Below are 25,082 nucleotides of genomic sequence, written 5' to 3'. Positions count from 1 at the left end.
CCCAAGGAACAGAGGCAATTCCTTCTTCCCACTTTTCCTCATCTCTGTCTTGCTGTTGCCTGGAAATGGTCATTCAGGCTAAGGAAAGCCAATCCCAGTTTCCTCCTTCTCCTCTGGCCAGTTATCAGCTCCCTCAGGGAGCAGAGAGTAAACAGAGGTCTTAACAAGGGTTCATGAAATTTTTAGTCAGACCTGCTAAGCCGGTGTGGCCAGCCCAGAGCCAGGTGATGCAGCCCATGCCACCTGCCCAACACAAACATGGCCAGTTTAATTTGGTGAGTCTTTCCGGAAATGTGCCACAAGCCAGGCCCTGGGCTGGGCTCTGGACACACAAGGGAGAGCCCCATTAGACAGTACACGGTCCTTGCCCTCTTGGTGCAAATGGGGAAATAGGGCAAAATGTGATCACAGAAGATAATACCCCACGCCAGTATCAGGGCACAAATAAAGCTAAAGAATTTCAGGCCAGGTGCAGTGGCTCACACCTATAATCCCAGCACTGTGAGAGGCTGAGGCAGCAGGATCACTTGAGGCCAGGAGTTCGAGACCAGCCTGGCCAACATTGCGAAACCTCATCTCTATGAAAAATTTAAAAATTAGCTGCGCATAGTGATGCATGCCTATAGTCTCAGCTACTCAAGAGGCTGAAGCAGGAGGATCACTTAAGCCTAGGAGTTGGAGGCTCCAATGAGCTATGATGACACTACTGCACTCCAGCCTGGGTGGCAGAGTGAGACCCTGTCTGTATTTTTTTTTTTTAAAAGAATCCAGCACAGTGGCTCATGCCTGTAATCCCAGAACTTTGGGAGGCCGAGGTGGGCAGATCACTTGAGGCCAGGAGTTCAAGACCAGCCTGGCCAACATGACGAAACCCTGTCTCTACTAAAAATACAAAAAATTAGCCAGGCGTGGTGGCGCGTGCCTATAATCCCAACTACTCGAGAGGCTGAGGCATGAGAATCACTTGAACCTGGGAGGTGGAGGTTGCAGTGGGCCAAGATCATGCCACTGCATTCCCGCCTGGGGGATAAAGCAAGACTCTGTCTCCAATAAATAAATAAGAAAAAGAAGAGGCAAAAGGAATTTCAGAGGACAGAACGAGCACATCTGCTGGGTGACCAGGAAGGCTTCCCAAAGGGTGGGCCTTTTGAATTGAGCCTCTGGGGGTGGTTGCAACAAGCAGAGAGGAGGAGGTGGAGGGAACCGTGTAAGCAGAGGCTTTGGACCTAAGTGGGGTAGGGGGCAGAAGTGAGAGGTTGGCTGGGAGAAAGGACTGGCGCTAGATTGCAGACGACCTTGGTTAGTCCTGGCTCTGCCAATATTTGCAGGATGACCTAAGTTTGTCATGTCTCCCCTCTGGGTCTCAGTTTCCTCATCTGTCAAATGGAAGAGTTGGCCTAGAATTCATGGTTTTCAATCTTTTCAGACCCATTGTCTACTTTTCATAACAAATCATGTGTAATATCTCAAAGATAATATAACCTTTTTATAATTTCAAGTGTAACCTTTTCACAATTTCAAGTGTTGTGTGTGTATATGTACATAGATACATACTCTGACTATTAATATGAAGGAAAATAGAAGGAAATTATTAATAATAAAATATTTTGTATGTCAACATGTAGATGCTCACCCACAATCACACTAGAAAACCTAACAAAGCAGCCAGGTCCTCTCGTCATAGGTAAAACACCATCCTGCCTCAAATGCCTATACAGGTAGGTTGTCTCAGTCAGTGGTGTTGCCCTTAGGGATGTATTTTCCAACAAAGCAAACAGTTCTTAGGGAAGTTCCAAACAAAACAAATGCAGCCTTCCCTTCATTTACACAGTGGTTGCATTCTGAAATATTCAGTATATATTAAAACTGCAAAAAAAATTTCATGTTTATACATGAAATGGAGTTAGGTTATAGTTTCTTATCCTTATAAAAAAGATTTTTCATCCACATGAATGTCTGCTGGGACACGTGAAAATCACTGGGAGTCGGGGAAGGTGTGGGGCAGAACTTCCCTTTGCAGAACTGTCCTGTCCATTTCGTGGTCTTTAGCATCCCTGGATCCCAGCTGTTGTTAAGACAACCTGAACACACTCACCAATTTCCCCATTCCCCCTAGGGGGCAGTAGCAACTGGATCATCTGGAAGCTCCCTTCCAGCTCTAAAATTCCCCAATTCTAGGCCTCATTCTGGTTAATTCAACAAACATTTGCCAGTGCCCACTATGTGCTCCGCCCTGGGCATCAGGCAGTGAACAAGCAGCTGTAGCCCCTGCTCCCCTGCAGACAATATCTGGAAGGACCTTAACCACCACCCTTCCATTCTACAGAGGAGGAAGATGAGGCCCAGAGAGGGCAGACTTGTATTCAAGGTCACACAGCAGGTCAGAGGCCTCCTGCGTACCAACCAGAACTCTGCCCTCAGGAAGGCACTGCATGGTGGGTCCACAGCCTTCTCCCCACTCATCTTCTCTCCCTCCTCCAACCCCCACAGTGCCAGCCGCCCTAACCCTGGACCCGGGCACAGCCCACCAGCGCCTGATCCTGTCGGACGACTGCACCATTGTGGCTTACGGCAACTTGCACCCACAGCCACTGCAGGACTCGCCAAAGCGCTTCGATGTGGAGGTGTCGGTGCTGGGTTCTGAAGCCTTCAGTAGTGGCGTCCACTACTGGGAGGTGGTGGTGGCGGAGAAGACCCAGTGGGTGATCGGGCTGGCACACGAAGCCGCAAGCCGCAAGGGCAGCATCCAGATCCAGCCCAGCCGCGGCTTCTACTGCATCGTGATGCACGATGGCAACCAGTACAGCGCCTGCACGGAGCCCTGGACGCGGCTTAACGTCCGGGACAAGCTTGACAAGGTGGGTGTCTTCCTGGACTATGACCAAGGCTTGCTCATCTTCTACAATGCTGATGACATGTCCTGGCTCTACACCTTCCGCGAGAAGTTCCCTGGCAAGCTCTGCTCTTACTTCAGCCCTGGCCAGAGCCACGCCAATGGCAAGAACGTTCAGCCGCTGCGGATCAACACCGTCCGCATCTAGTCCAGGCAGAAGGAGACCACAACCTCCTGGGACCACTGCCACCTGCAAGAGCCCTGCCCAGGAGATAGAAGACCTGGACTCCAGCCCACCGTGGCCACTGGAGACCTCAGGCCAGTTGTTTACCCTCCAGCCTCCAGTCTGTAAAATGGAGGTTGCATTCCCTACTTCCTAAACTCTCTTCCAGCATCGATGTTCTGTAGCTCTGACCTTGATAGGGATACAGCTTTGATCCAAGGATGTGACATGGCTTCTCCTCAGGGCAACCCCTGCCCAACCCTCATCCCCATCTTCTCAGGGGCAGGGGACTACCTTCCAGTGTCTCCCTCCAGCCCAGCCCTGACCTCAGGAAGTGTCAGAGCATGGCCAGTAGTTGGCAGCCCGAAAGACACACAGCACCCTCTTATGTCCCATGGCCTAAGACTTACCCCTGACCAAGCTAGTGATGGGCCATTTACCCTTGACCCCAGTCCACAGTGGTCACAGGTAGTACCTGGTCCTAGGGTTGCCTGAGAGCCAACCTCTCCTGCCACCCCCACACCAAGAACTATATGGTTCCTACTTCTCCCACTGATCTGCTGGTCAGTGATGATGCTGTGGCCTGTGGAAGGCACCTGGTAGTTGAGTCCACACATTATAGTCATGTGCCACCACCTTCCTGCCCACAGGCCGAGGGACAGGGTGAGGGTATACCCAAAGCTGATGCAGAGCCCATTAGCCTAAAAGCAACTGCAGGACAAGCCTCCCTGGATGATCGAGGTCCCCAGTAGCTCTGAACAAGAGTCCAGCCAACCCTCTTCAGCCAGGCCTCTGTGACCTGCTAGGGTGCAGGAGGCTTCCAGAAGCAGTTGTTGTAATTAGGACCCAAGCACTGGGAGGGGCTGTTGGCTGGACCCCTTGTCAGACTTGGCATCTATCTCAGTTAGGATCCTGCTGCAGAAAACAAGAGCCACTTGTAGCTGGTTTAATTAGACAAGGATTTACTACCTGGCCCCTGGTGGCTTGCAAAATTGTTGGAAGAGCTGGAGAAGCAGACTCTGCTGAATTTCCAGGAACTCCCAGCGCCAGATTCATCATGTCTGTTGTGACCAGGAAAGCTGCCCCCATCTGCAGGAAGCCACTATGCCAGAAAGCTGCTGACTGCAGAACTAGGCTCCCTCTGCCACGGTCCGTGCCAGCCAATAGATGTCCTGAGGCCTGCCCCTCTCCCACTTCACTCAGTTCCCAAATCTAAATTTTTACAAGAGATTCTGTTTGGGGGAACTTAAGTCAGATCCAGAACCTTGGCTGCAAGGGAGTCTGGGAAATGTCATTTCCCTAGAAGGAAGTTAGGGTGGGTGGAGCAAGCCCCACCTGCGTTTTTCTGCCACAGCATCCAATCGTGAAGAACTCGGGAGAGGGTGGAGTCCACATCTAGGGTTGTCCTGCCCCTTGGCTCTATCCCTGCCCAGAGGTGGGAACTGGAGGAGTGGGCTGCAAGACTGAGCCTAAATGTCTCCCCGGCCTTGACTTTTCTTTCTAGTCCTGGGGCCTAGATTCTGCACTTGGGGTCTCTGACACAACACACCATCCCAAAGTAGCCGGAAGAGCTAAACACAGGGGGTTCTTAAAATGGCTGCCCCCGCCACCCGGGCCTCCCTTGGGCAAAAGGAATTGTCAGCCCTACCCCAACCCTTCAACTACCAGAATCTGGGCCACCCCAGCAGTATTTTTATTTAAAATGTTGCCCATTTTATGAGTTATGATCAATTTGTATTAAATTAAAGTTACAGATGTCAGTAGCCAGTTCCATTCATTTTGACAAACACACAGGCCCACCCAGCTCTGTCCCAGGCAGTGCACACACATGAGCATAGCTAATCCACAAAGCAGCCCGGCTGGGTAAATGGTATTATGCTCATTTTACAGAGGAGGAAAATTGAGGTTCAGAGAGAAGCCAAGACTTACCTGGGGTCCCATATCCCATGCTGGCAAGTGCCACACCACAAACCTGTCCAAAAACTTACCAGCCAGGGAAGGCTGTCAGTCTTTACCTGGAGGAGAGGTGGTGGTAGTCTTGGGAGCAGGCAGCAGGCAGCTCATGGGGCAGTGGCAAGAGCCTGGTCTCGGGAACCACACAGACCTCAGCTCAAATCCAGGCTCCATCACTGTGTGACTTTAGAAAAATGACCACCCTCTCTGGGACTCAGTTTTCCCACATGGAAGATGAGGATACCAATTTCACATAATTTATTGGTAAGCTGTAAAGTGCAGTGCACTTAAGGAGGCCCTACCCTATCCCCCCAGCTGCCTCCCAGAGTCAGTGCCTGGAGCTGTATGGGTTTCCTGAACCTCTGGGCTGGCTCTGACCCAAGAAGTCTGTCTTTCTCCTTATGGGCTGTGACGGGTATGGAACCACCTAGACCAGGACCATCCTGAGGTCCATCCCACCTCTGACTGATGAGGAAGCATCCTGGCTGGGAGTTAGGACAGGCTCTGCATGTGGACACACAGGCTGTGCACACTTAAGTGGAAAAGACTGTCGACTAAAGAAGAAATATCAAGCTTTTAAAGAATTAAAGTTCACTTTACTTAGAAGTCTTACTGAGTACTATAGACAGGCCTAGAGCCCAGCAGCGGCCCTTTAGAGAGGTTCTATCAGTCGGGCCCAGGACAGTATTTTAGCCCACTGCTTATATACAGGTGGTGGAGGTTTAGTACACGCAAAATCACATCACACTTGCTCAGAAGTAACATTAAAGCCACCGGGCGCAGTGGCTCATGCCTGTAATCCCAACACTTTGGGAGGCCAAGGCAGGCGGATCACCTGAGGTTGGGAGTTCAAAACCGCCCTGACCAACGTGGAGAAACCCCGTCTCTACTAAAAAATACAAAATTAGCCGGGTGTGGTGGCACATGCCTGTAATCCCAGCTGCTCGGGAGGCTGAGGCAGGAGAATCTCTTGAACCCGGGAGGCGGAGGTTGCGGTGAGCTGGAGATCGCGCCATTGCACTCCAGCCTGGGCAAAGAGCGAAACTCCGTCTCAAAAAAAAAAAAAAAAAAAAGAAGTAACATTAAAGCGGAATCATATATCAACGTTTGCATGTAAGAGTGTGTCTGGGCTATAGATTACAGAGGCATAATCATGAATGCCATCAGACACTATCTTCTGTACAGGAAAAGGCAAGGACTAGGTTTATTTATCTTTTAAGGAACGTAGTGACTCAGGCAAGAGACATGGGGGCCATGCCCACTATTCTGTCTTGTCTCCAAAGTATCCCTCCACAGAGCCGCACATGGTCACAGAGTCAGAGGCTTGTGAAATTATGCTGGCAAACAGAAATGAGGGAAGTAGCTTCTTCCATTTGCTACTGTGTCTCCCAGGCCACTGGGTGCTCTCTGCAGTGTGCAAGGGAGTACAGCACCCCTGGGAGCCCAGGACTGGTGTTGGCTTTCTGTTAAGTCATTTTCACCCTAAGCCATTCTTGGCCTCCTCACCCACAGAATGAGGGAGGTTAGGCTGCAGGCCACAGGTGGATCTTCATCTACAGCCTGGAGCTGGGGAGAGGGAACCACCCCAGTCATTGACTCGCCTGGGTTTCTAGGAAGAGGAATGAGAACGAGGATGGGAGAGGGGCTGTTGGCAGGGGTGGGTGGAGAGGTCTCTGATTGTCTGATGGAGAGCAGCCCAGTTCACAGGGAAGTGACTGGGGTGATTCTGAGACTAGAGTATCCCAAGCCCTCCCCCATCCTCTCAGATCCCTGTGACTGCTCTAAAACCACGCCCTCTCATTTTGGCTCAGTGGATCTGTCTTTGCTCAGCCTTCTCCCTCTGGGGTCGGAGCACCCCCTCCATGGCGCATTCCACCTTCTCCCCACTCAGCCTCAGCAGCAGCTCCAAGAAATGCTGGCCACTTCCCAGGCTTTACTCACAGTTTCCACGTGTGTGGAAGTAACTATAGAGGCCAAATTTGCATTATCAACTGGGGACTCCTGGAAATGGGGGTGTCTCCAAGAGATATATTTGATACACGTCCAGAGAATTCCTGAAGGAAAGAATCTGGGGTTGTCAGGCTGATATCATGAACCCCACATTTAACACATTAAGTGAAGAGAGGGGACAAAGGCCAGGCTTGGGAAGGAAGGAGGGATCAACAAAGCCCTTACCCAGGACAGATAAAAATGATAGAATGGCAGTAACCCCATTTGGAGCCCCCATTTGTAGTCAGCAAGCAAAGTACTGGTCCTTTTTACACCTTATCTAACCATCGAGACACGCCCCTGTGGTTGGTATCATTATCTCAGTGTTTGAGCAGGGAAACGTCACTTCCCAGAGGACCCACAGCCAGTACTCGGCAGAGCTGGAAATCAAACCCGGTCCATCCAAAGCTAAAGCCAGATGTCTCTTTACTGGACCTCTCTGGAAATGCTTCTCAACTTTGATGATGGCTCCAGTGACAGGCAGCAGCCACCAGGACTGTGATCTCCCTGGGATTTAAAGTGGGAGGTTAAACCAGGCTCCACGCCACTGCGGAATTGTGCAATTGTAAGTCAAGTCTCAATTGTGAGCCAAGCTTCTCCCAGGGTCAGAGGTGGAGTTAGAAAGGCCCCATGTGACCCTGAGCAAGTCTCTCTCCTTCCCTGGTCCTCAGTTTCCCCATCTCTATTGGGGAAGGGTTAGGTATCTATTCTAGTTGATTAATTGCCAGGGCCTGAGCTCTGATGGTCCAGGATTCTGTAAGTCTAACGTTAGGTCCCACGGCTTGCCCTGCTCAGCACCTAATAAGGCCATTAGCTCTGGCTCCTTCTCTCTGGGGTGGCAGCAGGGACAGAAAACAACAGAGATACATTCTCTTGGCAGCACAGAACTCAGCTCAAGGGTTCTGGGGATGGGGCCTTCCCTCCTGCCAGGGAGGCCATCTCGAGAGGCTGACTGCTCACACCTGGGCAGCACTCTGTCTCCTCCCCTCCTGCCTGGGTCCCAGCTCTGTTCACCACCCCAAAGCACATCACCACAAGGTCAGTTGCAAAGGCCCGGTATCACAGGCTTAAATACAGAGGGCTAGGAGGGAGGTGGGAGGTGGGAGAGGAAGGTGGAGTACTAACAAAGGTGTTGAATTATCACTGCCCATCAGGACACGGTTATTTCCCCTTACTCTGGGACACCAAAGATTCTACACAATCTTCCTATAATCCTGAACCACAAAAGGGAGGCACAGCCTCCAAAAAAAAGTAGGAGAGGGGAGGGGGGAAGTACTTTTATTTTGAAATGTGTTCATTTTTCTTTGTTTTATTTTCTATCTTGATGAAAAGAATATATTTTTAAACCTAAATACAAAATAGTACAGTTTTCTATTTTTTTTTAAGTTCCAGGATACATGTGCAGGACGTGCAGGTTTGTTACATAGGTAAATGTGTGCTATGGTGGTTTGCTGCACCTATCAACCTATCAGAACAGTTTTCTATCTGCTTTAAAAATTTCAACAGTTCTATCATATTTCTATTACAAAATGCTCCCCCCTCCCTTGAAATTAGATGAAGAGGGGGAAGGGTTGACACTGTGGACCAGAGACCCAGGGACTTCCTACCCTGATGTCATGATAAGGGCTGGGGAAGGGCTTTCAGGAAGCTGGCATCAGAGGCACAAAGCTTCAGGTCCTGGTGAGCTTCCCAAAACTGTGAGACTAGATGTGATCGAATCTGAATGCTGGAAGGGTCTGAGTGATCCTCCAGTCTAACCTGAAGCCCAGAGAGGGTTAGTTTCTAGCTCCACATCACACAGCATATGGTGGAGCTGAGATGAGTACTCAAGTGTCCTGGTTCCCAGTCAGCACATAGGGGAGGGAGATTGACTAACTGAGAGGGCCCCAGCCCAGGCAAAGAAAAGGAACACAGGCCAGGCTGGAAGGGACAGGGCCAGAGCTTAGGAGGGAGGTGCTCAGAGGAGAAGGGTCCCACATCTAAGAAGGTCTGCGGGGGTACAAGAGGGCCTATCAGAGTTGGGGGCTGCAGCTCCTCCGAGAGGAGAAGGAGGGGGCAAAAGGGTGATCAAATCAGGAAGTCCTCCCTGGGGTGTGCATGCCAGTCAGCATCACGGGCCCCAACATGGCTGATGAGAGACCCCTGATCTCAGCCCTGCCATTTACATAGAAGAAAACTGAGACACAGATGCAAAGACAGCAGCCTGCAGGGCACAGTCAGGGCCAGATCCAAGTCTCCTGACTCCCAGCCATCGGCTCTTTTCATGCAAACTTCAGTCTCCCTCTTGTGGATTCTGGTGTCTCCTCCTACCCCCTGGGAACCTGGAGCCTGAGCAGAAGGAGAAGGGGAGAGAGGAGGGTTCCAACAACCCCAGGCACCAGGAGCTGGGTGCCTTCCTCTGTTGTCCTCTCCAAGGAGAAGAGAGAGCTGGCCTGGACCTCCAGGGCAGAGCCACTTCATACCTGCCCACACCTGGTCCTCCTTTGCTGGCAACAGAGTTCAGAGCTAGCACCAGCCACAGCAAGGACAAAGCCCAGCCCAGGCAGCTGCTGGAGCTGCAGGGAGTCCCAGGTAAGTGAAAGCATTGGGACTGATGGCCCAAGGGGGTTCCCTGATTTCATGGCACTAGAGAAAGCCCTGGGATATCAGGTGGTTTGAATGTTTTGAAGTCTTTTTCCCCAGAAAAGAGGCTCTTGCCCCCTCACTCCCTGCAGGCTGAGCCCCTGTGCCTGCTTCCTCTGCTTACCACATACCGCAGGTCAAAGGCCCTCCCTGACCAAGCTGCCAGATCTGCCAATCAGAAGCGAGGTCCTGGGGCCCAGCAGCACTGTTCTTGCCACTGGGAGAAGGGAGAAGCAGATATGGGACCTGAAAGGTCACCAAAAAAAGCAGACAGGCTGGAGGTTTGTGCCTCTCACCAGGGTGGGGCTGTGAGTCGAGACCTGGGTAAACCCCAGCTCCGTCTCTGACTCACCAATGACCCTGGACAGCTCCTTCATCGCCACCGTAAGCATCCCTGTTCCTCATCGGCTGAACAAGAGGGACAGGCAAAGGTTCTAGCCTGAGGCAGCTTCCTGGAGTTTGTCCATTGGTACCCCTCTCTCCCCTCTTTCCTCTTAGGGACCCCCCTCTGCCACACTCCTGGAAAGTCCTTCCCCACTTCTTTCATTCCTCCATCAAAATTTACCCTCCGGTGTTCCTCAGGTTAACTGGCTTACTGTTTAAGATGTCTCCCTGTCTACAACCTATGCACATTTATAATAGGAACCACTCCCGGAAGAGTAGCTGATGGTGGGATCTTAGAAACCCTGACAAGCAGCAGAGGAAAGATTATGGGGAGGATAGAAAGAGATAGGGGACTTCTCATGACACCATATGGCAGCTCTACAGCAGCTGCTGGTGGCTCCTGTCTTTCCAGCTGATCTGTCCCACTCTTGCCCCCATCCTCAGCACTCAGCCCTCCCCACCAGCAGCCCAATACAGGCTAATGGCCACGCACCACAGCCTTTCTGTTTGCAGGGGCTTCCTCTGCAGGAGGAAAACAACCTATGCATATAATGTTAGAATCAGACATGTGGACCTTTATGATCCCACGTGGAGAATGATAAGCATATTTTTGGCCTTAATGAATCTGCTTTTGGAGTACTCTTCCCCCTACCTAATGCCCTCCTTTTCCTTACTGTTGAAATCTTACTCATCCTTCATGTCCCACTCAAGGCAGGCTGTGTCAGTCATCCAGGTCCAGGAGATTCACTGACCCTGGGCTTTCCAAGAAGGACTCTGGGTCTCCCACTGCCACTAGGCATGAGCATCTCAAGATGGGGATCCTGTCCTATGGTTTTGCATGCTGGGTGCAGAGAGAATGTCAGAAAATGTTTTCTGGCTGAAAAGTAGCTAATGTCAAGCTGTAATTTTGAAACTACCCCATCTCCAAGATGGGAGGGAACTTACAGACCAGAGATAACCCCTCCCTGATGATGCTGAGCCCCCAGAGCGACCCTCACTGATCATTCCCCCGACACCTAGATTTTGTGCAGGGAGAGCCAGGGAAAAGAGGCAGAGACTAGGAAAGTTATTTGTTTGCTTTTTTAACAAATTATAACATAACTTGTGCTCATTTTAAAAAATGAAAATAAACACAGTAGAAATTCTCATTCTCCTTCTTCCCCAGTCCCAGAAGTCAGCAGCTATTAACAGTCAGTGCGAGTCTTGCAGGCATTTTTGCTTACACATAAACAAATGTCATTTTCTTTTACACAAATATGATCATCTTTCACATACTGTCCATCTTTCTATGTGTTCTGTGGTGTAAGTAGAAGCCCAACCCTTTCCCCTGCCACCTCCCTGGACCTCGGGCTCCTCAGGCTCCTACAAATGAAATTATTGGTCAAAAGATTTTCTCATTTAAAATGTGTTGCTTTCCTGGGTCGTTTTATTTTCTTGTAACATGCTCATTATGGAAAATTTGGAAAATACACAAGACACAAAGGAAAAAAATCATCCATCAGCCACTGTCCAGAGATAACTGCTGCTAGCATTTTGAGGATAAGGTTTACAGTCTTTCTTTCCTTTTCTTTTTTTTTTTTTTTTTTTGTTGTTGTTGTTGTTGAGACAGGATCTCGCTCTGTCACCCAGACTGGAATGCAGTGGCACGATCACAGTGCCTCAGCCTCCCAACTAGCTAGGACTATTATTGGGCGTGCTAATTTAAAAAGAAATTTTGCAGAGACAGGGTCTCGCTATGTTGCCTAGGCTCATCTTGAACTCCTGGTCTCAAGCAACCTCTCCACTCAGCTTCTTAAAGTGTTGGGATTACAGGCATGAACCACTGCACCTAGACCAGCCTTTTTTCTACGTGAGTCTATTCTACGTAAATCAAACCACTTTGCCTATTGTTCCATAACCTGTTTTTTTCCACTTAATAAAAGATTGTTATTCCATGTTAGTCTACAGCATCAGTTTAGTATGCTGTGTGACCTCAGGGCCACCTTAGAAGCCTACTTTTCCTAACCCCCATTCTGAGTAGGGAACCTGCCGCAGCAGATGCCCAGAACGCTCTTGCTCCAGGGTGTAACCTCTGCCTACTGGCTCCCTTTCAGGAATAAAATGCCCTGAGAAGTCCCTGAGCACTTGCCTCCTCCACCTCCCCTGAGCTGAAATCCCAGCACCCCACTGATGGTTATGCAGTCCCCCTGCAACTTCTCCGGCGCCACCTACCGGTGCAGTAAGTAGAAGCCCACCCCTTTCCCCTGCCACCTCCCTGGACCCTCAGCTCCTCGGCTCTGCTGCCAACCCAAGACCCAAGGTGGGGAGGATGGAGGTGGGGGCCTGGGTGGTCCTGACTGTGAGGCAAGGGAAGCCCTCTGGACTCAAGTTGGGCAAGCGACAGTGCCTCTTGCCCTTGTACCGTGGCCAGCTTTCCCTCAGAATGATGAGACTGAGGAAGGGACAGGGGCAGGTAGGTATCAGAGGTGGGCCAAGGAGGGTGCTGAGCCACTTGAAAGTTTTCTGGTTCCCAAAGCAAATACCCAGCTTCCCAGCCCAAGCCCATACTCTGCCCAAGGAATTTACTAGCCAAATAGTGTGGTTAAGTGTGATGTTGGGCAAGATCCCCCCTCTGGGGATCTCAGTCTTCTTACCAATTATACAAGGGGAAATATAGCCAGGTGGTTTCTAAGCCACCTTCCCAGCTCTGAAACTCTAAAACCCAACTGGAATCCATGTTTTCAAATGCTCTGTTTTCTCTCAAAGTCCCTGTACGCCTCATGATTAGTTGAATCCAATTATAGACCAGGTCTGGTTTGAAATATCATTAACATAATAATTATTATGGGCTGTCCTCTCATTTAATCCTCACAACAAGCATAAGAGGAGATACCATTTTTATCCTCTTTTTACTGATAAGAACACAAGGTCCAGAGAGTTAAGATGACTTTCTGCTTACGTGGCAGAGCTCACATTTGAACCCAGGGCTGTGTGACTCCCAAACCTGTGCTCCTTATTAGCCTCCAGTCCCCATACTACCCTGTGATGGGTGTAGGGATCATTCTTCCCTTGCTACAGTTAAGGAAACTGAGGCCAAACAGAAGAGATGTTTTCCTCAGGGTCACATAGCAAGTTCATGGCACAGCTGGGTGAACCCAGGCTCTGTGTCTCCTGGCCAACCGTCACTCCCCCACTCCCAACAAGCACTGGCTGATTTTCTTTTCTTTTTTTTTTTTTGGAGACTGAGTCTTGCTCTGTCGCCCAGGCTGGAGTGCAGTGATGTGATCTCAGCTCACTGCAACCTCTGCCTCCTGGGTTCAAGCAATTATCCTGTCTCAGCCTCCCAAGCAGCTGGGACTACAAGCACGCACCACCACGCCCAGCTAATTTTTGTATTTTTAGTAGAGACAGGGTTTCACCATATTGGCCAGGCTGGTCTCGGACTCCTGACCTCTGATCCACCTGCCTCGGCCTCCCAAAGTGCTGGGATTACGGGCGTGAGCCACCGTGCCCGGCCTGGCTGATTTTCATAGACAGTTGTTGGGGAACCGGAAACAGCCCCTGGGGCCAGGCGCAGTGGCTCAGGCCTGTAATCCCAGCACTTTGGGAGGCTGAAGCAGGAGGATCACTTGAGGCCAGGAGTTCAAGACCAGCCTGCCCAACATGGCGAAACCCTGTCTCTACTAAAAATACAAAAAATTAGCTAGGTGTGGTGGCATGCACCTGTAGTCCCAGCTACTCGGTAGGCTGAGGCATGAGAATTGCTTGAGCCTGGGAGGCAGAGATTGCAGTGAGCCAAGATTGTGCCACTGCACTCCAGCCTGGGTGATGGCGAGGCACTATCAAGAAAGAAAGGAAGAAAGAAAGAAAGACAGAGAGAGAGAGAAAGAAGGAAGGAAGGAAGGAAAGAAAGAAAAAGAAAGAAAGAAAGAAAAAGAAAGAAAGGAAAGGAAGAGAGAAAGAAAGAGAGAAAGAAAAAGAAAGAGAGAAAGGAAAAGAAAGAGAAAGAAAGGAGGGAAGGAAGGGAGAAAGGGAGAATGGAGGGAGGGAGAGAGGGAGGGAAGGAAGGAAGGAAGGAAGGAAGGAAGGAAGGAAGGAAGGAAGGAAGGAAGGAAGGAAGGGCTGGCCCCTGGGCTGGAGTCAAATGCCCAGAACTGAACAGGGATGGGGGCAGTCAAGAAGAGAAGGCCATGTTTGCTCAGACAAGCTTGGGTCCACCTTCCCCAGCTCAGTCCAGACAAGTATTGGCTTTGGGCAAGTCCCAAAGAAAGAAATACATTACCGGCAGGGTGGGGAGGGAGGGCTGGGCCTGGGGACCCCTCACTGTGCTCTTCACTCCCTCACTCCCTCATTCAATCGCTTACCCAACAATTCCTACAGCTTGCTAGGCACTGAGATAGGCAACAACAGCCGCATCCCAGGTCTATATCAAAGAGCTGATGGTGACCAGGCAAAGATAGCACATAGGTTGAGGACTCAGGAGAACAAGAGAGGCTCTCAGGAACTCAAGAGAAGAGGTTCCTCCTGGAGGAGGTTCTGCTGAAGCTGAGACCTGCATGCTGAGTAAGTGCTGGGCAAAGTTGTCCAGGAAGGAGGAACAGCATGTTTGAGGGACAGGAGGCTGGCAATGAGGCTGTGTGGCTGAGGATCCAATGTGAGACCAAGGGCAAAGCAATGGGCTGTGGGCCATCCTGAGGGCAACAGAGAAGCCTTGCTGGGTTGCTGTGAGAATGAAATGAGTCGAAATAATAGTAATGCCTAACGACAGCTAGAATTTATTGAGGGACTGCCACGTGCCAGGTGGTCTCTTACTGGGGTGGGCCACATGTCTGGCTCATGGTAAGTGTTCAGAGCTTGCTTGTGGGGAAGCACATGAATAGCGTGAAGGCCTGGCAGCATGCGGACCTGGGTTGTTTTTGTTTGGTTTGTTTGTTTGTTTGTTTGTTTTTGAGAGAGTCTTGCTCTGTCACCCAGGCAGGAGTGCAGTGGCGCCATCTCAGCTCACTGCAACCTCGCTTCAAGGTTCAAGTGATTCTCCTGTCTCAGCCTCCCAAATAGCTGGGATTACAGGCACGTGCCACCATGCCCGGCTAAATTTTTTTTGTATTTTTAGTAGAGACGGGGTTTCACCATGTTGGCCAGGCTGGTCTTAAAACTCCTGACTCAGGTGATCCACCCACATCGGCTCCCAAAGTGCTGGGATTATAGGCATGAGCCACGGCGCCCAGATCCATGAATGGTTTTAATCAGGGAAGGAGGGTGGTCATATTTATGTGGAGTGAAACACAGCTGGAGGCAGGGAGGGAACCCAGCGGGAAAGCAGCAAGGCTGGTGAGGCTGAGGCCAGGGGTGGGATGGAAGAGGAAGTAGAAGACGGAAGAAATGAGGAGCCAGGGATTTCTCCTGGGAGCACAGGACTGTTTCAGAGCTGACAACTCATCCTCGCTCCCCTATTTCTCAGAGTCCCAGAGAGGGCAGGCGCAGCAAGCTGGCAGCTGCTGTGGGCCAAGAACCCAGAGACCCGCATGTACTCCTAGCACCAAGAGAAAATTCCTGCAGTCTCCCATGCCACAGCTTCCCTGCGTAAACATGTCTGGTGCCAGGGAGCTCACTATCTGTGCAGCAGCCCATCCTACTACCGGATTAGGAGGTCTTTCTTTCCATGGGTCCCCTTGTGTCTCTGGTGGTCCTAGCTCTGTCTTCTGACCCCCTCCTTTCCATAGGATAGTCCTTTAAAGGCCCTCCATTTACTCCTTTTCCAATGACTCCTTCCCATTCTTCAACTAAATAAACAGAGGCAGTATTATTGGATTCCTCTGCTACCTAAGCGCCTTAGCTAACATGGGAAAAGAGTCCACCTGCACTTAATTCTTGGCCCTGCCACTTAACCAGCTGTGGACCTTAGGCCAGACACTTCACCACGATAGCCTCAGATTTCCCATCTGGAAAATAGGAACAAAAATACCTACCCTTGCTGGGTTGCTGTGAGGATCAAATGAGTCGAAATAACAGTAATGCCTAATGACAGCTAAAATTTATTGAGGGACTGCCACGTGCCAGGTGGTGTCTTACGGGGCTGGGCCACATGCCTGGCCCACGGTAAGTGTTCAGAGCATGCTTGTGGGGAAGCACATGGATAGCATGAAGGCCTGGCAACATGCGGATCTGGGTTCAAATCCTGCCTCTGCCCCTTATAAACGTTTTAGCCTCAGAGAAGCCAGCCTTGGCATCACAGCTTCACCAGCTGGTAAGTGGTAACAGCAGAGGCAGCTCGCCAGGTTGAGTAAGATAAGGCATGTAAAGCATCTGGTGGTATTAGGATCACATCTCTCCCTTTGGGTCCACAAGCAAGTACCCAGCACCTTCTAAGTGCCAAACACTAGGGGAAGAACAATTGGCCACTTGCCCAAGGTCACTCAATCTTTGCCTCTCAGCCTGCTTTTTCTCTGCACCATGCCTCCTCCGTGTCGTGGGAGCCCAGTGTTGTGTGGGCCAAGGCTGCTGAGGGCCAGAAGCACAGCCTGCCCTGGGGGAGCAGTCCACTGCCCTTGCCCTAACACCCCATCTCTTTGGCCAGACGTGGGTGGCTTACAAGCTGCAGTGCCCTGATGCCCCATCCCTTTGGCCAGGCATGGGTGGCTTGCAAGCTGCAGTGATCACCATCCCGGCCCTGCTCTCCTCATCCACTCTGCTGGTCATCAGCTGTATAAATGGAAAACGTGCCGCCGGTGGTCCCAGGTCACCTGCCCCAGCCCACCATCCCCATGAGGGGCCCAGGTAAGCCATTCAAGGTCCACGATGACAGGGAAGATCCACTGCTCTTTTACTCTTGGTCTTATTGTGCAAAACACCCAGGAAAGGCCCTATCAGATCTGTATTGCCCAAAGGTGTGACATTTAAGAGTGACATTAAAAAGAGAAACTCTCCTTCCTCTCTTGAGGCGACAGGGACAATGTGCTTAGCTGGATAAAGCCTCGCAGAGGCCATGAGCACTGTCTTTGGCCTCACAGCCTCCGTTGCCCTTGTCCAGGATCTGTTGAATGTTACTCACCAAGCCCTTGGGTCAAGGAAGGTCCATTCTGCTGCCCTGTAACTGTAACTGTAAGTGACTATGGGCCAAGGCTGCCCTCGACCCCACAGTGTCTCTCTCCTGACCCACTGGGCCTGATGGGGCCTCCGCAGGGAACCTTACCAAGGAGCACAAAGCCTCCTCCAAGGAGTGCACTCCTGGTTTCACCCCAGCTGAGGTGTGGCTTATCACATTATCCAGGGCTTGCAGCCCTTAGAATTTTCCACTTCTCCCATCTTAAAACATTCCCCCATGCTTTTCTGAAGTATTGGAGTTACAGGAGGTGCCTCTCATGCCGCTAATTTTAAAAGCCCAGAATTCTCATCACTACCCAAGATCTCAGGACATCTAGTCTGACTATGTGTCAACCACAAGGTTCATGGTTTCTTCCACTCATCCAATGACACTCAAGTGCGTGCCATGTGCCAGGAGTGCCAGGTGGTGAGTTTATAACAAATGAGACCCAGAATTAGTAAGCCAGTGGTTAGAAAAGAACAATGACAACAGAGTATGAGAAGTGCATGTATGGGATACAGGGGTCTGTGGGAGCATAGAGAAGGAGCAACTAACCAGTCAGGAGAGGAAGGTTAGGGGGAGCCTCCAAGAAGTGGCATCTGAACTGAGACCAGAAGGATGACTAGGCACTTGCTGGAAGGAAGGAGTGAAAGGATAGTCCAGGCAGAGGGAACAGAAAGTACAGTTTAGGGGTTGACAAACTATGGCCCACCTCTTGGTTTTGGAAATGAAGTTTCACTGAAACACAGCCATGTCCAATCACTTATGTATTGTCTCTGGCAGCTTTTGCTCTGCAGGGCAGAATGAAGTAGTTGCAAAAGAAACACTAAGAATTACAAAGCAAAAGAAGTATTGACTATCTGGCCCTTGACAGAAAAGGTTTGCTGACCCCTAGAGACTGGAGAGCTCACGCTGCCTTTTAGGGAACATAGTGGCTGGAGGGTAAGGGTGGGAAAAAAGCAGTAGGCAGCTCACAGTGCGTTCTTCCCATAGCCGTAGCAGCTGGATCCAGAGTAGATACACCCTGATTTAAACTGAGCTGATCAGAGTCTGTCTTCTCAGAAATTGGAATGTGGGATGTCAAATTCAAAAATGGAGCCCGGTCACATTAATGCCTGTGAAGCTCTGCTGCGAAGGCCCCTCGAGCCTGCTCCTTGCCCAGACTGCTCAATCAACCATGCCTTGATTCAGAAGGCCCTTGCAATCAATTCCCCTAACATTTAATTTTCATTTCCCCTCAAGGTTTCTGTTACTTTCAATGAAAAAAAAACAAACCTTTCATTAACTAAAATTAAAGTCACTGAGAGAGATAAAGTTGGTAGGGAATACAGATTTAGTCAGTGAGGTCCAACATAAATATAATGTGAGGTATATTTAATAGATAATTTTAAATTTCCTAATAGCCATATTTTGGCTGTTAAATTTTCTAATAGCCAAAATAAGTAAAATCTATTATTTAAATTAATTTCACTAATTTAAAAAGAAATGTGTGAAATTAATTTAATATATTTTAATTATTTATTTTATTTCTTTTAAACATACAAAATGTTATCCAATGATAATACTAAAATCAATATTCAATATTTAAAAATTATTGAAATCGTTTACAATCTTTTCTTTTGAACTACATCTTTGAAATCTAGGGTGTATTTTACACTTATAACACATTCAATTTGGACTGGCCACATTTCAAGTGTCTCATAGCCACAGGAAGCCGGTGGCTAACATAACAGACAGCACAGATTTAGACCCTCAGAGCCCTGCAGGAGTGGCTAAAAAGTCCTAGCCTCAATCTTACTGTTTCTCTGCAACCAAGTTATGAACAGTATGAAGGCAGGGACTTGTGTGTTTACTTGTTTGTCCCCAGTGCCTAGCACAGAGAAAGCACTTAGTAAACATTTGTGGAGAGAATGGCTAGATGAAGAGGAGAATGGTATACCATACACTTTGACAAGTAAATCAAACTCAGGAAAGAGAATTCCCTCCAGCTCTTCCTTGATTCTATTTTTCTGCATTATTTCTTCCCCAGCTCACAGTGGCTGTTTTCTTTGACCAACCTTGAGTCTGCTTTGTTGATCTATCTTGTTGTTGCCAGAAATCTCAAGGAGCCACTTTTAAAACTCATCCCCAGTGACCTGCATGCTGGCAGCTCTAGCAAATACCATCCCTCACATTACCAAACACTGGCATTGCTCTCTCCTCTGCCTTATCCCTCCTTCCCACATCCAACTCCATTGCCAAATGTCTTCTGTTCTTTTTCCAGACATATCTCAAATTCATCTTCTGCTCTTCACCTGCACAGCCACTGCACAATTCAGGTTCTCATTATTAGAGAGATGGCCTACAACCACCACCCTCTCCTAATTTCTCTACTTCTGTCTTTGCTTCTAATCCCTCTGTATTAGTTATCTATTGCTGCCTAACAAATTACCTTAAAATTAGGTAAAACTTAAAACCACGAATATTACTTATCTCCCTTTCTGAGGGTCAAGAACCTGGGTATGGCTTAACTGGGTCCTCTGGCTTAGGGCCTCTCACATGGCTGCAATCAGGTGTTGGCTGGGGCTGCAGTCATTCTAAGGCTTGCCTGGGGGAGGATCTACTTTCAAGCTCACTCACAGCTGTTAGAAGTCCTCAAGTCCTTGCTAGCCGTTGATTAGTCATCTGTTCTTTGACACATAGACCTACCCACAGGGCAGTTCACAAGATGGCTGCTGTGTTCCCTAAGAGCAAGTGAGCAAGAGAGCAAGAGAAGGTGCCCAAAACAGAAGCCACAGGGAGTTTTTGTAATCGAATCTCAGAAATGACAACCCGTCACTTCTAACATATTCTATTCATTAGAATGGAATCAATAAATTCCATCCATACTCAACGGGAGGAAATCACACCAGGGTGTGAATACTGGGATGTGAAATCATTAAGGACAACTCAGAGACTGCCTACCGCATCCTCTTCCTTGCCTCCTAGTGCACCATCTAAAGTGCAAAGCTACGGCCAGGTGCAGTGGTTCATACCTGTAATCCCAGCACTTTGGGAGGCCAAGGCAGGTGGATCACGTGAGGTCAGGAGTTTGAGACTAGCCTGACCAACATGGTGAAACCCCATCTCTACTAAAAATACAAAATTAGCCAGGCATGGTGGCTCATGCCTGTAATCCCAACTACTCGGGAGGCTGAGGCAGGAGAATCGCTTGAACCCGGGAGGCAGAGGCTGCAGTGAGCCAAGATGACCCCACTGCACTCCAGCCTGACCAACAAAAGCAAAACTCCGTCTCAAAATAAATAAATAAATAATGTGCAAAGCTGACCTCCTCTCTCCCCCGCTCAGAAATTCTGATGACTTGCTGATACTTCGGAACATCACCCTTTATTGTCCAAAAGATCACCAGAATGGGTAAATAGTAGAAAAGGAGAGCTTTATCGGTGATATTAGTTTGCAAACCAGGAAGAGAATCTCCAGTGTGGACCAAATGTGTTTTCTCTTCGAGAAGGGAAGGAGCAGGTTGGGTTTTATGCCTCACAAGGTCCATATTTACACAAAAGAGTCATACATATTTAGCAGATTGTGGGGGAAGACTATATATATTTATGAGGGGAGCTGAGTGCATGCACAATGCGTAAACATATATGTAACACTCATCCCATGCTCACTTTGGGGCAGAATTTTAGCATTAAAATGAGGTAGAATTTGACTCTTTATATCAAAAGATGAACCACAGGACCCAAAGACAGTCTGTGTACCGCCTTTATCAGCTGGTGAAACTGGCTTAAGGTCTGCAGTTGCTTATCAGAAGAGAATGTTTGTAAGGCCGGTCCTCTGTCCAATCAGAGTTGTAGTGGTCTTGGGTTGTAAATCAGAGTTAGGAGGGATATGATGAACCCCCAACCCATAAGTAACTTTAACTTTGGTTTCTTTAATCTTAGGGTCTGTCTTAGTTGATAAGAAGTGTCTTCTTAGATCACTTCTTCGTAATATGCCCCCAATCTCCATTCCATTCTTACCTTCCATCCTATACTCCGGTTCCCAGAAAGGGCTCTGAATCATCAAACTACCATTCCCTTGTACACGCCAGTGCCCTGGTCTGGAATGCTCCCCTCAACTTCCCCAGACTTTTCTACCTGGCCAACTCCTACTCATTCACCAAGACCTGCTGCTTTTGCCACGCCTGTCCTAATCCTGGCCGGCAGCTTTATCTATCCCTAATCAGACCTCCCTTGGTGCCCTGTGCTTTCCACTAACACAGCACTTACCACACCAAATCACAATTATCTCCACTTGGATATCTGAAAAGATCTCAAATGAAACATGTTCAGAAGTTCATTTCTACTGATTTTTCCATAAGTAGGATTTAGTAGGAGGTGGATCTTGAAGCCATCCATTCTGACTTCTCCCAGAAGCCTTGCCCCTGGTCTGAGAGACAAGTTATAGGACCTCACCAACTTCATTAAAATTACAAAAATGCCCAGAGAGCAGCCACTTTGTAATAGGATGCTACCAAATAAATACATCTGATGCTTTAAAGGCAATTAGGATCATAACAGGCTCCCTGTAGACACAGGAAGAGGGTGGGGCAGGTATAGTGATTGAGATTCAGATTAGGCAGAGACTTTCCCAATCTGCCTCCACTAGTTGCTATCTGTTCTAGACAAGTTACTTCATACGTAAGCCTCATTTCTCAATTTGTAAATGAAAATAACTTACCTGGTTACTGTGGTTACCATGTGTCAGGTGCTGTTCTGAGTGCTTTAAATACGTTAAATTTTTTGTTCTTTTGGAGACGAGGTCTCACTCTGTTGCCCAAACTGGAGTGCAGTGCCCCACTCACGGCTCACTGAAGCCTCGACCTCCCAGGCTCAAGCAATCCTCCTCCCACCTCAGCCTCCAGAGTAGCTGGGACCGCAGGTGCTTGCCACCACGCCTGGCTGATTTTTTTTTTTTTTTTTTTTTGGAGAGGTGGGGAGTTTCACTATTTTACCCGGGCTGGTCTTGAACTCCTGGGCTCAAACAATCCTTCCACCTTCGGCCTCCCAAAGTGCTGGGATTACAGGTGTGAGCTACCGTGCCCAACCTAAATATGTTAAATTTATTTATCTTTAGAATAATGGTATAAGGTAGATACTATTATCCTATTTTACAGAGTCAGAAACTGTGGCAGAGAGTAACTTAGGCCAGGATACACAGCTAATAACTGGCAGAACCAGGATTCCAACACAGGCAGTGGAGGGTAGGAGTCCTTGTCATTAAGACGCACTGCACAGGCCTGTGTCGATTAATTGAATAATGCGAGTGAAGGCGAGAGCAGGGCCTGGCAAGCAGTAGGCACGCTTGATTATTTTAAAATGTAAAACTCCTTGGCCTAGAGATCAAGAATTATTTCAAAGACCTTTATATTCTGCGTGAACCCAGCAGGTGTTTTCCCTCGCATATGAAATTGATGGTTGAGAAGGACATCGGAGACAAGTCTTAGGTTCGTACAGCCTTTCGGTTCTTTTACCCAGATCCTCCGTTTTTAAGTAGAAGCGAAAGTAGCTGATGCGCAAATAAGCCCACTTCCGGTGTTACCCTGGGCCTTTTTCCAGCTGAGCAGAGATAAGGTCGCCCGCTTCCCACGCCGCCTCAGTCCCGGGTTGACCCCTTTCCCGTGAGAGCCCCGCCCTCGGCGAAGGTTCGGTTTAACATTGGTTGAGGTTGGAAGACTGAGCTGCGCCTCTCCGTCTTTCAACCAATGGACTTCCCTGTTCCTTCTCACCGTTTGGTAAAGTCGGTCCCTCCTCCCAGCCGCCAGAGGGCGCGACATCGCGTGGCTCGAAGCCTAGAAGGCTCTCGAATACGGAAGTGACTTTACGCTACCGGAAGACCGTGGCTTCAAGGGATGGGGGCCGTGAGCTGGGGGTTCCGGTGGCTGGAAGCTGAGCAGTCATGGTTCCGCCAGGCAATCGTTTCCACTTCTGAGAGTCTCATATGCTCAGATGAGAAAACGGAGGCTTTTGGAGGAAGGAGCTTCTCATATTTACACAGCGAAAAACTCCTCAGACAAGCGCGCTTCCCATACGACTCACCAGGACAAAGGGACGATCCATGAGGGTATTTGCTCAGCCTGAGGAATCCCTGAGGCAAGTCTCACAGAACTGTGCCCATTCCACAGATGGAGAAAGCGAAACCCAGAGAGGGACATGCAGCGTACAGGGACTTGCCAGAGTAGGGTTACCATATTTAGCAAATAAAATGCAGGATGCCCAGTTGAAGTTGAATTTCAGGTAAACGACGAGTAATGCTTTAGTATAAGACTATCCCAAATATTGCAATGAGACACGTATGCTAAAAAATTACTCATTGTTTTTCTGAATTCAAATTTATCTGGATGTCCTGTATTTTATTTGGCGATCCTACCCCAAGGTCACCTAACTGAGTGGAAAAACAGAAAGCGCTATTGGGGGGGTCCTACGTGCCTCCCTGCCTGGGGCTCACTAGTGTATGGAGCTGGCTTGTTCCCAGGTGCTATTCTGAGGTTATTTTAAAGGCCCCCAGCTCATGCCAGTCAATGGTCTTCCTAGTGCAGGATCTAGACCTATTCAGGAGCTGACAAGGAGCCACATCCCCCACTCCCATTCAGGGGTACCGCACCACCACCACCCAAACTAGTTTATTCAAAAGACACTAAGTGTCTACTCTGTGGTAAGCACAGTCTTAGGTTCCAGATCACACTAGAAAGTAGGAGAAACACTCCCTGTCTTTATGGAATCAATAGGATTAGATACGCAGGAAGACAAGTATTTAGAGAGGAAAACTACAGTACATTGTGATCAGTAGTTCTTTAATAGGGACAAATACAGGATGCATGAAAGCCCGGAGATGGAACCCCTAATGAAGGAATAGAAAGTAAGAGAAAGGAGAGAGACACCCAAGCTGAGGCCTGAAAGATTCATTCCTTCATTCAGTAATTTCTTGAACATCTACATGAAGGACAGTATTCTAGGCACTGTGGACCCAGCAGTGAACAAAATAAACAAATCTTTGCCCTCAGAACTTAATTCTAAGTGAAATGTATAATATGTTAGACAGTGATCTATGGAGGAAAAAGTAAGGCTCTGAAGGGGATTATAGAATGCTGGGGCAGGAATGGAAATGTTACAGTTTTTTTGTTTGTTTGATTTAGAGATGGCATCTCACTATGTTGCCCAGGCTGGCCTCAAATTCCTGGGCTCAAGTGATCCTCCTGCCTCAGCCTCCCAAAGTGCTGGGATTACAAGAATGAGCCGTCACTCCCAGCCTGAAGTGGGTAGTCAGGAAGTTCTCACTGAGAACATTACATTTGAGCAAAGACCTGAAGGGATGAGGGAGAGAGATCTATGCAGAGATTTGGGGTTGTAAGTGTGTCTGGCATGTTACAGGAAAGGAAAGGAAAGGAAAGGAAAGGGCGTGTGATGAACAAGATTCCAATATGATAGCTTTCTAAGGGATTTTCAATGATAATTTTGACCATATGATTCTTGCCTTAAATATGGTCTTTAGAGCCTCATCCCTGTAAAATATGACCACATAAGTTGGTGGGGGCTACTTTGAACAGGATGTTTGGAAAAGGCCTTCTTGAGATGGCAACATTCAAGCCGAGGCCTTTAAGATGAGAATGAGCCAATGCTGGAGTAGCTAAGGGAACAGCAAAGGCGAAGACTTGGAGGCAAGAAAGAAGTCAGTAAATGTGAGAAACTGAAATGTGAGAAAAGAGTGGCATGAGATGAGGTGGGAGAGGTGGGCAGGGGTCTCAGGCAATTTAGCTTTTTTTGGCATCGCAGCGGAAATCAACTGAAGGGCTTTCAGCAGAGGACTGACAATCAGATCATTTTACTGGTTGAATTTACACAGGCTTAGCTGTTTACCTAAAGGTGCCAGGAAGAGGGTTTAAAATGGAGCAAAGGGATGAGTGGAACCCCTGTCCTCTTGCCTCCCCTTTGTTCCCTTTACAGCTGGAATGAGATGGCTTGGGCAGGTGGGTTTCCTAGGTGAGAGATGACTCC

General features: G+C 48.9%; 3 protein-coding genes across 5 annotated transcripts in view, besides 6 other annotated features; 1 reads left to right on the top strand and 2 right to left on the bottom strand.

Moving 5' to 3' along the window:
* The window catches only part of TRIM62 (tripartite motif containing 62), a 36,645-nt gene extending 31,826 nt beyond the window's left edge, over positions 1 to 4,819 (top strand). For both annotated transcript variants that reach the window (NM_018207.3, NM_001330483.2), the window contains exon 5: positions 2,491 to 4,819. In NM_018207.3, coding sequence (NP_060677.2) covers positions 2,491 to 3,041 — 551 coding nt within the window. In that variant the 3' untranslated portion in view covers positions 3,042 to 4,819. The remainder of the gene's footprint in view (positions 1 to 2,490) is intronic.
* ZNF362 (zinc finger protein 362) overlaps positions 1 to 22,696 on the bottom strand; it is a 173,198-nt gene extending 150,502 nt beyond the window's left edge. The window contains exon 1 of the mRNA XM_047447108.1: positions 21,769 to 22,696. The gene's annotated coding sequence lies outside the window, so the exon portion shown is untranslated. The remainder of the gene's footprint in view (positions 1 to 21,768) is intronic.
* AZIN2 (antizyme inhibitor 2) overlaps positions 1 to 25,082 on the bottom strand; it is an 85,643-nt gene that overhangs the window by 16,578 nt on the left and 43,983 nt on the right. The window lies entirely within an intron of this gene.
* Positions 8,493 to 9,092: an enhancer, noted in NCBI's record as "H3K27ac hESC enhancer chr1:33606727-33607326 (GRCh37/hg19 assembly coordinates)". NCBI's record gives its function as "activates a minimal SCP1, AML or CMV promoter by ChIP-STARR-seq in naive H9 embryonic stem cells {active_cell/tissue: H9 hESC(naive)}" and the evidence as "EXISTENCE:reporter gene assay evidence [ECO:0000049][PMID:30033119]".
* Positions 9,693 to 10,292: an enhancer, noted in NCBI's record as "H3K27ac-H3K4me1 hESC enhancer chr1:33605527-33606126 (GRCh37/hg19 assembly coordinates)". NCBI's record gives its function as "activates a minimal SCP1, AML or CMV promoter by ChIP-STARR-seq in primed H9 embryonic stem cells {active_cell/tissue: H9 hESC(primed)}" and the evidence as "EXISTENCE:reporter gene assay evidence [ECO:0000049][PMID:30033119]".
* Positions 19,608 to 19,687: a silencer, noted in NCBI's record as "silent region_616". NCBI's record gives its function as "represses an Ori minimal core promoter by ATAC-STARR-seq in GM12878 lymphoblastoid cells {active_cell/tissue: GM12878}" and the evidence as "EXISTENCE:reporter gene assay evidence [ECO:0000049][PMID:35858748]".
* Positions 22,205 to 23,404: an enhancer, noted in NCBI's record as "BRD4-independent group 4 enhancer chr1:33592415-33593614 (GRCh37/hg19 assembly coordinates)". NCBI's record gives its function as "activates an origin of replication core promoter dependent on BRD2, P300/CBP, MED14 and CDK7 cofactors, and independent of BRD4, by STARR-seq in HCT116 cells {active_cell/tissue: HCT116}" and the evidence as "EXISTENCE:reporter gene assay evidence [ECO:0000049][PMID:35650434]".
* Positions 22,258 to 22,677: an enhancer, noted in NCBI's record as "active region_707". NCBI's record gives its function as "activates an Ori minimal core promoter by ATAC-STARR-seq in GM12878 lymphoblastoid cells {active_cell/tissue: GM12878}" and the evidence as "EXISTENCE:reporter gene assay evidence [ECO:0000049][PMID:35858748]".
* Positions 22,635 to 23,138: an enhancer, noted in NCBI's record as "H3K27ac hESC enhancer chr1:33592681-33593184 (GRCh37/hg19 assembly coordinates)". NCBI's record gives its function as "activates a minimal SCP1, AML or CMV promoter by ChIP-STARR-seq in naive H9 embryonic stem cells {active_cell/tissue: H9 hESC(naive)}" and the evidence as "EXISTENCE:reporter gene assay evidence [ECO:0000049][PMID:30033119]".

Source organism: Homo sapiens, chromosome 1 (genome assembly GCF_000001405.40).
Source record: "Homo sapiens chromosome 1, GRCh38.p14 Primary Assembly".
Taxonomy (NCBI): domain Eukaryota; kingdom Metazoa; phylum Chordata; class Mammalia; order Primates; family Hominidae; genus Homo; species Homo sapiens.
This window is presented reverse-complemented; position numbering and strand designations above follow the sequence as displayed.